Below are 18,113 nucleotides of genomic sequence, written 5' to 3' on the forward strand. Positions count from 1 at the left end.
AGAGGCTTTTAATAGCAGACTGGATCAAGCAGAGGAAAGAATCAGTGAGCCTGAAGACAGGCTACTTGAATATAAACAGAGAAGAAAAAAGAAAAAAGAATACCTACAAAATATAGAAAATTACCTCAAAAGAGCAAATCTAAGAATCATTGGCCTTCAAGAAGGAGTTGAGAAAGAGCAAGGGGTAGAAAACTTATTCAAAGAAATAGTAACAGAAAAGTATCCAAATTTACACAAAGATATAAACATCCATGAACAGGAAGGTCAGAGATCACCAAACAGATTCAATTCAAATAAGCCTACCCCAAGGCATATAATAAATTCCCACCTAGGCAATACCATACTGGACATAGGAATGAGTAAAGATTTCATGACAAAGACACCAAAAGCAATTGCAACAGAAGCAAAAATTGACAAATGAGATCTAATTAAACTTAAGAGCTTCTGCATAGCAAAAGTAACAAAGTAAATAGAAAACCTACAGAATGGGAGGAGACATCTGAAACTATGCATCCGACAAAGGTCTAACGGCCAGCATCTATAAGGAACTAAATTTAGAAGAGAAAAACAAATTCATTAAGAAGTCGGCAAAGGACAAGAATAGACACTTTTCAAAAGAAGATTATACATGCAGCCAACAAGCATATTAAAAAAAAAAGCTTAGGCCAGGCGCGGTGGCTCATGCCTGTAATCCCAACACTTTGGGAGGCTGAGGCAAGTGGATCACCTGAGGCCAGGAGTTCGAGACCAGCCCGGCCAACATGGTGAAACCCACTCTCTACTAAAAGTAAATTATTCAGATGTGGTGGCGCATGCCTGTAGTCCCAGCTACTCAGGAGGCTGAAGGAGGGGAATCGCTTGAACCTGGAGGTTGCAGTGAGCCGAGACCACACCACTGCACTCCAGCCTGGGCAACAGAGCAAGACTATGTAAAAAAAAAAAAAAAAAAGCTCAATATCACTGATCATTAGAGAAATGCAAATCAAAACCACAATGAGATACCATCTCACACCAGTCAGAAAGCTATTATTAAAAAGTCAAAAAATAAGGCAAGGCAAGGTTGCAGAGGAAAGGGAACACTTATACACTGTTGATGGGAATGTAAATTATTTTAACCATTGTGGAAAGCAGTATGGCAATTCCTCAAAGAGCTAAAAGCAGAACTACCATTTGACCCAGCAATCTCATTATTGGGTATATACCCAGAGGAATACAAATCATTCTACCATAAAGAAACATGCATGAATGTTCACTGCAGCACTATTCACAACAGCAAAAACATGGAATCAACTGAAATACTCATCAATGGTAGACTGGATAAAGAAAATGTGGTACATATACACCATAGAATACTACATAGCCATAAAAAAGAACAAGATCATGTCTTTTGCGAGAACATGGATGGAGCTGAACGGCATTATCCTTAGCAAACTAATGCAGAACAGAAAACCAAATACTACTTGTTCTCACTTATAAGTGGGAGCTAAATGATGAGAACTTATGAACACAAAGAAGGTAACAACAGACACTGGGGTGGAGGGTGGGAGAAGGAAGAGAAGGAGAAAAGATAACTATTGGGTACTGGGCTTAATGCCTGGGTGATGAAATAATCTGTATAACAAACCCCAATGAAACAAGTTTACCTACGTAACAAACCTTCACATTTACCCAAATCTAAAAGTTTAATAAATAAGTACATTCTCAAAGTCAAGCACAAAGAGAAGATCCTAAAAGCATCAAGAGAAAAGAAGAAAACAAAATATAAAGGAGCTCTGATTTATCTGGCAATAGAATCCTCAGCAGAAAGCATATTGGCCAGGAGGGAGTGAAATAACATATTCAACGTGGTGCTGAAAGAAAAAGAAAAAGAAAAAGAAAAAGAAAAAAAAAAACCTGTCAACCAAGAATATTATTCTCAGCAAAGCTATCTTTGAAATACAAAGGAGATAAAGCCTTTACCAGGACAAGCAAACACTTGAAAGGGACTCATAAGAAATGCTAAAGGGAGTTCTTCACTATGAAAGAGAAGGACACCACATGCAAAAACAAAAAAACATTTGAAGGTATAAAACCCATTGGTAAAAGTGAATATACAGACAAACGCAGAATACTCTAATAATATAATTGTGGTGTGTAATCCAGTCATATCTCTAGTATGAATACTAAAAGACAAATCTACTTAAAACAGTAGGCTAGGCACAGTGGCTCATGCCTATAATCCCAGCACTTTGGGAGGCAGAGGCAGGCAGATTGCTTGAGCTCAGGAATTTGAGACCAGCCAGGGCAATATGGCAAAGCCCCATCTCTACCAAAAATACAAAAAGTTAGCTGAGTGTCGTAGCATGCACCTATGATCCCAGCTACTTGAGAGGCTGAGGTGGGAGCATCACAAGATCCTCAGTGTGTCGCTTCACCAGCCAGAAACCTCTGTGGCCAGTGGTACCTCTGCTTGAGTTTTGCTCACACCTGCTGGGCTTATTCTGCCCACTCGGCCTGGCAGGCTGCACTCAGCTTGTGCTACCAGCCCAGACCCCATGCCTGCTAAGGGCAAGCCAGGTGCAGAGCAGTGAGGGGTGTGTGAGTTAGCAAATGTGGGGTCTGGCTATGTGCACAGCCAGGCACACTGGCTGTTGCAGTGAGGCAGGCAGCTCCAGCCACCAGCACAGGCACTGGCTCCATGTGAGACTGTGGCTGGACCAGATGTACTGCAAGCAGCTTCCGCTGTGGGCACCAATGCCTGGACAAGGGGAATGCAGGGGCGCCTGAAAGCTCAGAGATGCCAGGAACCACAGAGGCCCAAAGAGGGTGTTAGAGTGTGTCAGAGCCCTGGCTCTGGGAGCCCTGAGGTTTGGGATCCCAGAAGAGTCACAACTCTTCTCTCCTTGTCACCCGCAGCGCAGCAAGTCGGGGGATGTGTTTCAGGTGGCACATGTTTCAGCCCATTTGTGTTACAGCTGTTTCAGTCCCACCACCCTGCTCTGGCCAGTGGCTCCTGGGCTGGCCTGGCCCCACAGCTGCTTCCCATTGCATGGCGCAGCCACCAGGTGCCAGTGGAGGGTGGGAGGCCTATGATGTGACAGCACCTCTGGCTCAGAAATCCTGAGGTCTGGGCCCCTAGAAAGGTCACCACTCTTCACTCACGCAGTTTGTCTTTGTCACCACGCACAGCCCGGCGAGTCGGCCAGGAACGTGTTACAGCTCCTTTCACTCCCGCCATTCAGTGAGTCCCAAGTTCTTGTCCTGTGTCCAGGAAGAATGAGGTTACACAGACAACTGGAAGGTGAGCAAGGTGGGGAGAAGCCTTATTGAGTGACAGAACAACTCTCAGTAGAGAGGAGACCCTAAGTGGGCAGCTCCTATCCACAGTCAGGTAGTCCCAATGAGTTGATGAGTCCCTGAGTCTAGCTGAGCCTTGGGTTTTTACGGGCTCAGAAGGGAGGAAGTATGTGCTGACTGGTCCATGGACAGCCATGGGAAGGCCTGGAAAAAGCATCATCCAATTGGCCAAAAGGCATGAAGGAAGTTCTCACTCCAGGTTGCGGACTCCACCTGGCACTGGCAGCCTGGCCTCCAGGCTTCAGGCTGTCCTTGGCTTGAAGGTGAGGTTTCACTGAGGACCTGCCCCTTCTGCCTAGGAACCTGTCTACCTCTCACCACCATCAACATGCCATCTGCAGTGCCCAGGCTGTCTGCACTGCAGGACACTCACAGGCCCATGCCAAGCTGCCCTCAACCTCCCAGCCTCCCTTCTGCGCTCGTCGGCATCCAAAGTCTTGGGGGAACCAAGGCAGTAGGGGGCTGGCATGTCAGCACTGCCCCGAGTGTACACACACCTGACTGGGTCATGACAGCACCCGTGCTCAGCCACAACTTCACTCTACACCAGAGTGGGTACTGGGAGTGAAGAGAGGCCAGGCAGTGGGAGCAAGTACTTCCAAGCCTGAGGGGGCAGGGGGCTTTCCAGGCCCATAAGAGCGCAGGGATGCCCAAGTCCCAAGCTGTGGCTGGGCAGATGCAGCTGTGCCTGGGAGCACAGGGTCCCCACTGGGATCACCTGTTCCTAGCCCCTGACAGCTCCATGGAGCACGCAGCCCTGCCTGCACCTCCTCCACTGCTGGCTTCCTTACAGCAGCTGCTTCAGATTTGTTGCCACCTCTATCAGGAGGATAGCTTGAGCCTGGGAAGTGGAGGTTGCAGTGAACTGAGATTGCACCACTGCAATCCAACCTGGGTGACAGAGTGAGACCCTATCTCAAAAAAAAGAAAAAACAAAAACAAAAAGCTCCCCCTCAAAATAACTACAGCAACTTGTTAAGGTATAGATAATGTAAAAAGATGTAAACTGAGACAACAAAAAGTCATAATATGATGGAGTAAAAGTGTAGAATGTTTTAGTTTTTCCTTTGTTTGTTTCTATTATTTGTGATCAAGGCAAGATATCTATTTAAAGTAACCTGTTGTCCAGGCACAGGCTCATGCCTGTAATCTCCACACTTTCGGAGGCTAAAGCAGGAGAATTGCTTGAGGCCAGGAGTTCAAGACCAACCTGGCCGACACAGTAAAATCCCCATCTCTTTTAAAAACTCCTTAACTTAAAAAATAACTTGTTATATCTATAAAATGTTTTTTTGTAAATCTCATGGTAACTACAAAGCAAAAATAAAACAGGTACACTAAAAAAAAAGCAAAAAATTAAAACAACCAAAAAAGAAGAAAATCACTTGACCACAAAGGAAGACAGTAAAAAAGGAAGAAAACACAATGAGATATCATCTCACTCCAGTTAGAATGGCTATTACTCAAAAGACAAAAAAAAAAAAAGTACTGGTGAGGATATAGAGAAAGAGGAATCCTGGTACACTATAGGTGGGAATGAAAACTAGTACAACTACTATGGAAAACAGTATGGAGGTTCCTCAAAAAACTAAACCATATGATCCAGCAAACCCACTACAGAGTGTGTATGTATGTATGTATGTATGTATGTATGTGTGTGTGTGTGTATATATATACACACATATTATATATATAAACATATTGAAGAGGTATCTGTACTCTCTTGTTTATTGCAGCACTATTCACAACAGCCAAAATATGAATTCAACCTAGGTGTCCATCAATGGATGACTGGAAAAAGAAAATGTGGTATGTGTACACAAATGGAATATTATTCAGCCATAAAAAGGAATGAAATCCTGTCACATGCAGCTACATGGATGAAAATGGAGGTCATTACGTTAAATGAAATAAGCCAGGCCCTGAAAGACAACTATTGCACATTCTCACTTAAATGTGGAAACCAAAAAAGCAGATCTCAGAAAGAGAGAGCAAAACAGTGGTTAACAGAGGCTACAAAAAGTAGGAGGGAAGGGGGAAATGAAGAGAGGTTGATTAATGGGTACAACAATACAGATACATAGAAGGAATAAGATGTAGTATATGATAGCACAGTAGGTTGACTATATTAACAATAATCTATTATATATTTCAAAATAGCTGGAAGAGAAGAATTCTAATGTCTCCAACATAAAAAAATATAAATATTTGAGGTGATGGATATCTCATTTACCTTGATTTGATAATTACACATTATATGAATATGTCAAAATATCTCATGTAGCATGAAAATTGTTGCGGGAAGTCAGGGACCCCAAATGGTGGGACCAACTGGACCCAGGGCAGAGGAACATAAATTGTGAAGATTTCATGGACATTTATCAGTTCCCAAAATTAATACTTTTATAATTTCTTACACCTGTCTTTACTGCAATCTCTGAACATAAATTGTGAAGATTTCATGGACATTTATCAGTTCCCAAATAATACTCTTTTAATTTCTTATGCCTGTCTTTACTTTAATCTCTTAATCCTGTTATCTTTGTAAGCTGAGAATGTATGTCACCTCAGGACCACTATTGTACAAATTGATTGTAAAACATGTGTGTTTGAACAATATGAAATCAGTGCACCTTGAAAAAGAACAGAATAACAGTGATTTTCAGGGAACAAGGAAAGACAACCATAAGGTCTGACTGCCTGCAGGGTCAGGCAGAATAGAGCCATATTTTTCTTCTTTCGGAGAGCCTATAAATGGATGTACAAGTAGGAGAGATACCGCTGAATTCTTTTCCCAGCAAGGAATATTAATAATTAATACCCTGGGGAAGGAATGCATTCCTGAGGGGAGGTCTATAAACGGCCGCTCTGGGAGTGTCTGTCTTATGCGGTTGAGATAAGGACTGAAATACACCCTGGTCTCCTGCAGTACCCTCAGGCTTACTAGGATTGGGAAATTCCAGCCTGGTAAATTTGAGGTCAGATCAGTTCTCTGCTCTCAAACCCTGTTTTCTGTTGTTTAAGATGTTTATCAAGACAATATGTGCACAGCTGAACACAGACCATCATTAGTAATACTAATTTTGCCCTTTGCCTTGTGATCTTTGCTTTGCCCTTTGCCTTGTGATCTTTATTGCCCTTTAAAGCATGTGATCTTCGTGACCTACTCCCTGTTCATACACCCCCTCCCCTTTTAAAGTCTTTAATAAAAACCTGCTGGTTTTGCGGCTCAGGACATCATGGACCTACCAATATGTGATGTCATCCCCGGAGGCCCAGCTGTAAAATTCCTCTCTTTGTACTCTTTCTCTTTTTTCTCAGACCAGCCAACACTTAGGGAAAACAGAAAGAACCTACGTTGAAATACTGGGGGCGGGTTCCCCCAGCAGAAAATATGTATAGCTAGTATGTATCAATAAAAAAGAGTCAGTATGTACCCTAAGATTTATACAAAGGAATATGTATTTTCAACAATTTATTCTCTTGTCATCAGCAAGATATCACTTGCCTGGTTTCCCCTTATTCTCTAGCTTCTATCCCTCAGTATCCTTTTAAAGCTCATTATCAAAAAGCACTATCATAGCCAGATGCGGTGGCTCATGCCTGTAATCCCAGCACTTTGGGAGGCCAAGGTGGGCAGATCCCTTGAGGTCAGGAGTTCGCGATCAGCCTGGCCAACATGGTGAAACCCCGTCTCTACTGAAAATACAAAACTTAGCTGGGCGTAGTGGTGGGTGCCTGTAGTCCCAGCTACTCAGGAGGCTGAGGCACAAGAATTGCTTGAACCCAGCAGGTGGAGGTTGCAGTGAGCCGAGATCATGCCACTGCATTCCAGCCTGAGTGACAAAGCGAGTCTCCATCTCAAAACAAATCAACAAATAAAAAAAAACAAAAAACACTATCACCCTTATTAATATACTATTCATAAATGAAAAAGACTCAGTGAAAACCCTTTTCCCTACCTGGCCTGTATAATACAGACACAAATCTCTTATGGAACAGGACACTCATGTCTAAGCACATGTTCATGTGCCCATGGTGTAATGTTTGCTGAGACTTAGCAACCCTCAGAGGAAAAAAGGTTCTCAGCTTCTGGAACTATTTCATCTTATAAGATGAAAAATGAAATGAAATGAAATTGAAATGAAATAATGAAATTGAAATGAAATAAAAAACGGATGTGACTCATGGCTACTCTAGTACCATGGGTTACATCCAGAAGGAATCCTCTGCCTCAGCCCTCCCTAGAAGCCAGGGAGGACCTCTGCAGCCAAGTGATGAGGGTGTCAGTCCCACCTGTTTCTACAAGTTAAGCCATGAACTAGAACTAGAAATTGAGTTTTACAAAACTGTAGGATAGAAAAGCAATACAGTAGTCCTCCTTATCCATGGGGGATACATTCCAGGATCCTCAGTGGATGCGCAAAACTTCAAATAGTACTGAACCCAATTGCCATCAATTGGAACATACGAGTTTCTGCTTATGACTTCCACCAACAAATTAATGGCCTTTTCCATCTTAACTGTGCACTATCACTCACTGTGGCCATAACAGTTGCAGTTTGAGGTGTGATAACAAAACTAGCATTAATTTCTTTTTCCTTTGTCAGGATAACATAGAAGATTCGTTCTCACCATAGATCTTAGCAACCTCAGCAATTTTTTTTCTTTCCTTATTAAGCCAAGAACTTTCACCTTTTCACTTAAAGGAAGTACTTCACAGCTTCTCTTTGGCATATCCAAATTGCCAGCATCATTCCTCTTGCATCTTGGGCCTATTATTAAGTAAAATAAGGGTTACCTGAAAATAAGTACTGTGATACTATGACAGTAGATCTGATAACCAAGACAGCTACCAAGTGACTAATGGGCAGGTAGCACATACAGTGTGGATAAGGTGGAAAAGGGATGATTCATGTCCTGAATGGGACTGAACAAGATTGTGTGAGATTTCATCATGCTACTCAGAATAGTGTACAATTTTAAACTTATGAACTATTTATTTCTGGAATTTTCCATTTAATATTTTTGAACTGCAATTGACTGACCACAGGGAACTGAAATCACAAAAAGCAAAACCATGGATGAGGGGGAACTACTGTATACAAAAATCAGTTAGATATCTCCTAATTCATTGTATCAGGCCAACATTATCCTGATACCAAAGCCAGAGATACTACAAAAAGAAGAGAACTACAGACGAATATCTATTATGAATATGAATGCAAAAATCCTGAACAAAATATTAGCAGGCCAAATTCAATAGCATATTAAAAGGATTATATACCACAACCAAGTGGAATTTATCCTTGGAATGCAAAGATGGCTCAACATACAAAAAATCAATCAATGTAATACACCGCATTAGCACAATAAAGGAAAAAAGCCATATAATCATCTCAATTTTCAAAAATCCCAAAACACTCCTGGGGAAACTTTAGCCCCCAAAGCTAAACTCACTTCTTTGGTTTTCCTTTCTAAGATCATGGTATGTGCACAGCACCTTCCTCCAAAGAGGATTTTGATTTTACGTAAAATGCAATATATAAACTATCATTTCTCCAACTCCTTAAACTAAGATCTTGGCTTGAGGTTCCCTGGTTATATCCAGGAGATTGGAAACCAGATTGTGACCCTGCTTACTCTTTGGAATAAGATGCCTTAATCTTAGGCTTCAAATAATTCCCATTAATACTTTTTAAAATACTATTCCCTGCATATGCAGATAAGCAGGCACATAAGGAAACAAGACACCATGAACTACAGTGTAAAGAAACAAGACATGGAAATTCTAGGGGAAAATGGCAGATAGGAGGCAGGACTAGATTGCAGTTCCCACTCAGATGAACAGAGCAGTGGGTGGAGACTCACATCATGAACTTTTGCTCCAAAACTACTACAGGAATACATCAGGAAAGCTGAGAAAATCCACAGACCCTCTGAAAGAAGCAGACTGCTCCTGCAGGACCTAGGAGACACCCCAAATATTGTGAATGCCCAAGCTATGAAAGTAGGAAAGGAGAGATTGTCCACCCCTGAATACATACCCTCACTGGGGAACCTGAAGGTCTAGCTCATGGGACAGGATTTGACTTTACCTGGAGCTGAGTCAAATTAGAGAGCTGAGCAAAATAAAGGGGTAGAGGAAGGAATGGGAAAAGCCCTGTGGGCTCTCTGGGTCCCCTGGGAAGCCATTTCTGACTTGTCTCACAGGGGTCCTTTGGGAGGGCTGACAGAGGAACTGGTAAAAGACCATACAGGAAGGAAACCTCCAGCTGAACTTTCTAACAACTCCAACCGGACGTGAAGCTTTCTGGCCGAACTCGGGGAAGGGCATGAATCTAGTGTGCAGATTTGAGAAGCGGGGAGGCACGGAAGCCCTGCTGGCTTTCTCAGCTGGGAGGCTGGTAGCCTGAGGCAAATTCTCAGCTCTGCTCACTCACTGCCTGGAAACAAACTTGGTGTTGTTGGGTGGGGCGGGTAGTGGGCATGATGGGAGTGAGACCGGCCTTTTGGATTGCGTGGGAGCTGGGTGAGGCCTATAACTTCCTGCTTTCCCCAACTTCCCTGACAATCTGCATGACACAGCAGAGGCAGCCATAATCCTGCTGGGAACAGAACTCCACTGAACCTGGGACCCATACCCCCATGCCCCACAGCAGCTGCAGCAAGCCCTGCCCAAGGAGAATCTGAGCTCAGACACGCCTAACCCTGGCCCAACATGATGGTCCTTCTCTATCTGCTCTGGTAGCTGAAGACAAAGAGCATATTCTCTTCGGAGTTCTAGGGCCCTGCCTACTGCCTGATCCCCGTTATACTACCACAGCTGATGCACTCTTGAATGTGCCACCTCCTGGCAGGAGGTCAACCAGTGTAAAAATAGCGCATTAAACAACCAAAACTAAAAATCCTCACAGAGTCCATTTCACTCCCATGCCACTTCCACCAGAGCAGGTGCTGGTATCCACTGCTGAGAGACATGAAGACGGTTCACATCAAAGGACTCTGTGCAGATAATCCCCAGTACCAGCCTGGAGCCTGGTAGCCCTTCTGGGTGGTTAGATCCAGAAGAGAAATAACAATCATTACAGCTCAGCTCTCAGGAAGCCACATCCCTGGAAAAAGGGAGATAGTATTACATCAAAGGAACATCCCGTGGGACAAAAGAATCTGAACAGCAGCCTTGAGCCCCAGACCTTCCCACTGACATAGCCTACCCAAATGAGAAGGAACCAGAAAAACAATTCTGATATGACAAAACAAGGCTCTTTAACACTCCCCAAAAATTACACTAGCTCACCAGCAATGGATCCAAACCAAGAAGAAATCCCTGATTTACCTGAAAATAATTCAGAAGGGTGATTATTAAGCTAATCAAGGAGGCACCAGAGAAGGGTGAAGTCCAACTTTTAAAAAATTCAAAAAATGATACAAGAAATGAGGAGAGAAATCTTCAGTGAAAAGATTGCATACATTTTTTGTTGTTGTTGTTTTTGAGACGGAGTTTCGCTCTTGTCACCCAGGCTGGAGTGCAATGGAGTGATCTTGGCTCACTGCAACCTCCGCCTCCCAGGTTCAAGCTATTCTCCTGCCTCAGCCTCCTGAGTAGCTGGGATTACAGGCATGTGCCACCACGCTTGGCTAATTTTGTATTTTTAGCAGAGATGAGATTTCTTCATGTTGGCCAGGCTGGTCTCAAACTCCTGACCTCAGGTGATCTGCCCGCCTCAGCCTCCCAAAGTGCTGGGATTACAGGCATGAGCCACCATGCCTGGCCAATTGCATAAATTAAAAAACAATCACAACTTCAGGAAATAAAGGACAAAGAGAAAGGCAAAATGTTCTGGAAAGTCTCAGCAATAGAATTGAATAAGCAGAAGAAAGAACTTCAGAGCCTGAAGACAAGCTTTACGAATTAACCCAATCCAACAATGACAAAGAAAAAGAATAAAAGAAAATGAACAAAGTCTCCAAGAAGTTTGGGATTATGTTAAACGACCAAATCTAAGAATAGTTGTCATGCCTGAGGAGAAGAGAAATCTAAAAGTTTGGAAAACGTCTCTGGGGGAATAATTGAGGAAAACTTCCCCAGCCTTGCTAAAGACCTAGACATTCAAATACAAGAGGCTCAAAGAACACCTGAGAAATTCATCGCAAAAAGATTGCCTAGGCACATTGTCATCAGGTTATTTAAAGTCAAGACAAAGGAAAGAATCTTAAGAGCTGTGAGGCAAAAGCACCAGGTAACCTATAAAGGAAAACCTATAAGATTAACAGCAGATTTCTCAGCAGAAAACTATAAGCTAGAAGGGATTGGAGCCGTATATTTAGCCTCCTTAAACAAAACAATTATCAGCCAAGAATTTTGTATCCAGAGAAACTAAGCTTCACAAAGGAAAGATAGTCTTTTTCAGACAAACAAATGCTGAGAGAATTCACCACTAACAAGCCAGCAATACAAGAACTACTAAAAGAGCTCTAAATCTTTAAACAAATCCTGAAAACACATCAAAACAGAACCTTTTCAAAGCATAAATGTCACAGGACCTATAAAACAAAAATACAATTAAAAAAATCTGGCTGGGTGCAGTGGTTCATGCCTGTAATCCCAGCACTTTGGGAGAACGAGGCAGGTGGATCACCTGAGGTCAGGAGTTCAAGATCAGCCTGGCCAACATAGTGAAACCCCGTCTCTACTAAAAATACAAAAATTCACCAGGCATGTTGGCGTGTGTCTGTAGTTCCAGCTACTCAGGAGGCTGAGGCAGGAGAATCACTTGAACCCAGGAGGCAGAGGTTGCAGTGAGCCGATATCCCGCCACTGCACTCCAGCCTGGGTGACAAGAGTGAAACTCCATCTAAAAAAAAAAAAATAAAATAAAACAAAACCCAAAGTATACAGGCAAAAAATAGCATGATGAATGGAATAGTACCTCACATCTTGATACTGATGTTGAATGTAAATTGCCTAAATGCTCCACTTAAAAGATATAGAATTGCACAATGGATAAGAATTCACCAATCATCTGTTGCCTTCAAGACACTCAACTAACATATAAGGACTTACATAAATGTCAGGTAAAGGGGTGAAAAAAGACATTCCATGCAAATGGACAAAAGCGAGTAGGAGTAGCTATTCTTATACCAAACAAAACAAACTTTAAAGCAACAGCAGTTAAAAAACAGACAAACAGGGACATTATATAATGATAGAAAGCCTTGTCCAACAGGAAAATATCACAATCCTAAATATATATGTACCTAACCCTGGTGTTCCCAAATTTATGAAACAACTACTACTAGACCTAAGTAATGAGATAGACAGCAACACAATAATAGTGGGGGACTTCAATACTCCACTGACAGCACTAGACAGGTCATCAAGACAGAAAATCAACAAAGAAACAATGGATTTAAACTATACCCCGGAACAAATAAACTTAACAGATATTTACAACACATTCTACCCAACAACTGTAGAATATACATTCTATTCATCAGCATATGGAACTATCTCCAAGATAGACCATATGATAGGCCACAAAACAAGTCTCAAAAAATTTAAGAAAATTGAAATTATATCAATTACTCTCTCAGACCACAGTGGAATAAAACTGAAAATCAACTCCAAAAGGTACCTTCAAAGCCATGCAAATACATGGAAATTAAATAACCTGCTCCTGAATGATCATTGGGTCAACAATAAAATCAAGATGGAAGTTCAAAAATTCTTTGAACCGAGAGATAATAGTGACATAACCTATCAAAACCTCTGGGATACAGTAAAGGTGGTGCTAAGAGGAAAATTCACCACCTTAAATGCTTACACCAAAAAGTCTGAAAGAACACAACTAGACAATCTAAGGTCACACCTCAAGGAACTAGAGAAACAAGAACAAACCTGACCCAAACCCAGCAGAAGAAAGGAAATAACCAAGATCAGAGCAGAGCTAAATGAAACTGAAACAATCAAACAAAAATACAAAAGATAAATGAAACAAAAAGCTGGTTCCTTGAAAAGATAAATAAAATTGATAGACCACTAGCAAGATGAACCAAGAGAAGAGAGAAGATTCAAATAAGCTGAATTAGAAATGAAGCGGGAGATATTACAACTGACACCACAGAAATACAAAAGATCATTCAAGGCTACTATCAAAACTTTTACGCACATAAACTAGAAAACCTAGAGGAGATGGGTAAATTCCTAAAAAGACACAACTCCTAGTTTAAATCAGGAAGAATTCGAAACCCTAGACAGACCAATAACAAGCAGTGAGAACGAAATACTGCCTTCAAAAAAAAAAATACCGGCTGGGCACGATGGCTCACGCCTGTAATCCTAGCACTTTGGGAGGCCAAGGTGGGTGGATCACGAGGTCAGGAGATCGAGACCATCCTGGCTAACACGGTGAAACCCCGTGTCTACTAAAAATACAAAAAAATTAGCTGGGCGTGGCAGCGGGTGCCTATAGTCCCAGCTACTTGGGAGGCTGAGGCAGGAGAATGGTGTGAACCCTGAAGGTGGAGCTTGCAGTGAGCTGAGATTGGGCCACTGCACTCCAGCCTTGGCGACAGAGAGAGACTCCATCTCAAAAAGACAAAAAAAAAAAAATCCAGGACTAGACAGATTGACAGCTGAATTCTACCAGACATTCAAAGAATTGGTGTCAATCCTATTGACACTATTCCAAAAGACAGAGAAAGAGGGAATCCTCCCTAAATCATTCTATAAAGAAAGTATCACCCTAATACCAAAACTAGGAAAAGATATAACAAAAAAAGAAAACTACAGACAAATATCCCTGATGAACATAGATGCAAAAATCCTTAACAAAATATGAGCTAAATGAATTCAACAGCATATCAAAAAGATAATCCACCATGATCAAGTGGGTCTTATACCAGGTATGCAGGGATAGTTTAACATACAAAAGTCAATAAATGTGATACACCATATAAACAGAATTAAAAATAAAAATCACATGATCATCTCGATAAACTCAGAAAAAGCATTTAACAAAATCCAGGCCAGGCATGGTGGCTCACACCTGTAATCCCAACACTTTGGGAGGCTGAGGTGGGTGGATCACCTGAGGTCAGTAGTTCAAGACTAGCCTGGCCAACATGGTGAATGAAACCCTGTCTCTACTAAAAATACAAAAAATAGCCAGGCATGGTGGTGCATGCCTGTAATCCCAGCTACTCAGGAGACTGAGGCAGGAGAATCGCCTGAACCTGGGAGGCGGAGATTTCAGTGAGCCAAGATCATGCCACCGCACTCTAGCCTGGACAACAGAGTGAGACTCCATATGAAAAAAAAAAAAAAATCCAGCATCCTTTTGTCATTAGAACCCTCAGCAGAATCAGCATACAAGGGACATACCTCAAAGTAATAAAAGCCATCTATGATAAATCCACAGCCAACATAATACTGGAAAAGTATTATGAAAGCATTCCCTTTGAGAACTGGAACAAGATAAGGATGCCTACTCTCACCACTTCTATTGAGAACTAGAACAAGATGAGGATGCCTACTCTCACCACTTCTATTCAACAGTAATACTGGAAGTTCTAGTCAGAGCAATCAGACAAGAGAAAGAAATAAAGGGCACCCAAATCAGTAAAGAGGAAGTCGAACTACTGCTGTTCACTGGCAATATGACTGTATACCTAGAAAACTCCTTAGAGTTTTCTAAAAAGCTCCCAGAACTGATAAATGAATTTAGCAAAGTTTCAGGATACAAAATTAATGTACATAAATCAGTATCTCTGCTATACACCAACAGTGACCAAGCTGAGAATCTAATCAATAACTCAATCCCTTTTACTGTAAAAATAAAATAAAGTACTTAAGAATATACCTAACCAAGGAGGTGAAAGACCTCTTCAGCAAATGAGTTTCTTGTAGATTCTGGATATTAGTCCTTTGTCGGATGTATAGATTGTGATGATTTTTTCCCACTCTGTGGGTTGTTTGCTGACTGTTCCTTTTGCTGTGCAAATGGTGCTGGGATAATTGGCACGCCACATGTAGAAGAATGAAACTTGATCCTCATCTCTGACCTTATGCAAAAATCAACTCAAGGCCAGACACAGTGGTTCATGCCTGTAATCCCAGCACTCTGGGAGGCGGGTAGATCATCTGAGGTCAGGAGTTCAAGACCAGCCTGGCGAACATTGTGAAACCCTGTCTCTACTAAAAATACATAAATTAGCTGGTCATGGTGGCAGGCACCTGTAATCCCACCTACTCGGAAGGCTGAGGCAGGAGAATCACTTCTACCCAGTAGGGGGAGGTTGCAGTGAGCCAAGAGTATGCCATCGCACTCCAGTCTGGGTGACAGATTGAGACTCCATCTCAAAAAAAAAAAAAATCAACTCAAGATGGATCAAGGACTTAAATGACTTAAATCTAAGACCTAAACCATAAAAATTCTAGAATATAGTATCAGAAAAACCCTTCTAGACATTGGATTAGGCAAAGATTTCATGACCAAGAACTCAAAAGCAAATGAAACACAAAGATAAATAGGTGGGACTTAATTAAACTAAAGAGCTTTTGCACAGCAAAAGGAACAGTCAGCAAACAACCCACAGAGTGGGAAAAAATCATCACAATCTATACATCCGACAAAGGACTAATATCCAGAATCTACAAGAAACTCAAACAAATTAGCAAGAAAAAACAAATAATCCCATCAAAAAGTGAGCTAAGGATATGAATAGAGAATTCTGAAAAGAAGATATACAAATGGCCAACAAACACATGAAAACATGCTCAACAACACCAATGGTCAGGGAAATGCAGATCAAAACCACAATGTGATACCACCTCACTCCCACAAGAATGCCCATTATCAAAAAATCAAAAAACAGTAGATGTTGGTGTGGATGTGGTGAAAAGGGAAAACTTCTACACTGCTGGTGGGAATGTAAACTAGTACAACCACTATGGAAAACAGTGTGGAGATTCATTAAAGAACTAAAAGTAGAACTACCATTTGATCCAACAATCCCACTACTGGGTATCTACCCAGAGGAAAAGAAGTCATTACACAAATGTACAATTCATATAATGTATAACATTATACAAAAGCACAATTCACAATTGCAAAAATGTGGAAGCAGCTGAAATGCCCATCAATCAACAAGTGGATAAAGAAACTGTGGTATACATACACGATGGAATACTACTCAGCCATAAAAATGAATGAATCAATGGCATTCGCAGCAATCTGGACAGGATTGTAGACTATTATTCTAAGTGAAGTAACTCAGGAATGGAAAACTGAACATATGTTCTCACTTATAAGTGGGAGCTAAGCTATGACAATGCAAAGGCATGAGAAAGATACAACGGGCCGGGCACGGTGGCTCACGCCTGTAATCCCAACACTTTCGGAGGCTAAGGTGGGTGGATCATGAGGTCAGGAGATCAAGACCATCCTGGCCAATATGGTGAAACCCCATCTCTACTAAAAATACAAAAATTAGCTGGGCATGGTGGTGGGAGCCTGTAGTCCCAGCTACTCAGGAGGCTGATGCAGGAGAATTGCTTGAACCCGGGAGGCAGAGGTTGTGGTGAGCTTAGATTGTGCCACTGCACTCCAGCCTGGGTGACAGAGTGAGACTCTGTCTCAAAAAAAAAAAAAAAAAAAAAAAAGAATTATCAAGGAACCTGCCCCCGACAGTCACGTAAGTTCTTTTCTATTTTCCCTAAGCATCGTCCGGGTTGAGAAATAAAGGGACAGAGTACAAAAGAGAGAAATTTTAAAGCTGGGCGTCCGGGGGAGACATCACGTCGGTAGGTTCCGTGATGCCTCCTGAGCTGTAAAACCAGCAAGTTTTTATTAGGGATTTTCAAAAGGGGAGGCAGTGTACAAATAGGGTGTGGGTCACAGAGATCACGTACTTCACAAGGTAATAGAATATCACAAGGCAAATGGAGGCAGGGCGAGATCACAGGACCACAGACCGGGGCGAAATTAAAATTGCTAATGAAGTTTCGGGCATCATTGTCATTGATAACATCTTTTCAGAAGACAGGGTTTGAGAGCAACCGGTCTGACCAAAATTTATTTGGCGGGAATTTCCTCGTCCTAATAAGCCTGGGAGTGCTATGGGAGACTGGGGCTTATTTCATCCCTACAGTCTCGACCATAGAAGACAGCCACACCCAAGGGGGCCATTTTAGAGGCCTACCCTCAGGGGCGCATTCTCTTTCTCAGGGATGTTCCTTGCTGAGAAAAAGAATTCAGTGATATTTCTCCCATTTGCTTTTGAAAGAAGAGAAATATGGCTCTGTTCCGCCCAGCTCACCGGCGGTCAGAGTTTAAGGTTCTCTCTCTTATTCCCTGAACATTGCTGTTATCCTGTTCTTTTTTCAAGGTGCCCAGATTTCACATTGTTCAAACACACATGCTCTACAAACAATTTGTGCAGTTAACGCAATCATCACAGGGTCCTGAGGCGACATACATCCTCCTCAGCTGACAGGATTAAGAGATTAAAGTAAAGACAGGCATAGGAAATCACAAGGGTATTGATTGGGGAAGTGATAAGCGTCCATGAAATCTTCACAATTTATGTTCAGAGACTGCAGTAAAGACAGGCATAAGAAATTATAGAAGTATTAATTTGGGGAACTAATAAATGTCCACGAAATCTTCACAATCCACATTCATCTGTCATGGCTTCAGCCAGTCCCTCTGTTTGGGGTCCCTGACTTCCCACAACAAAGAATGATACAATGGACTTTGGGGACTCAGAGGGAA

General features: G+C 42.0%; 1 protein-coding gene across 23 annotated transcripts in view; it reads right to left on the minus strand.

Moving 5' to 3' along the window:
* CEP70 (centrosomal protein 70) overlaps positions 1–18,113 on the minus strand; it is a 99,917-nt gene that overhangs the window by 45,206 nt on the left and 36,598 nt on the right. The window contains exon 2 of one of the 23 annotated variants that reach the window (XM_047449021.1): positions 3,142–3,240. The exons of the other annotated variants lie outside the window; for them this stretch is intronic. The gene's annotated coding sequence lies outside the window, so the exon portion shown is untranslated. The remainder of the gene's footprint in view (positions 1–3,141; positions 3,241–18,113) is intronic. 23 annotated transcript variants of the gene reach the window in all.

The sequence above is a fragment of the Homo sapiens genome, chromosome 3, assembly GCF_000001405.40.
Source record: "Homo sapiens chromosome 3, GRCh38.p14 Primary Assembly".
Classification (NCBI taxonomy): Eukaryota; Metazoa; Chordata; class Mammalia; order Primates; family Hominidae; genus Homo; species Homo sapiens.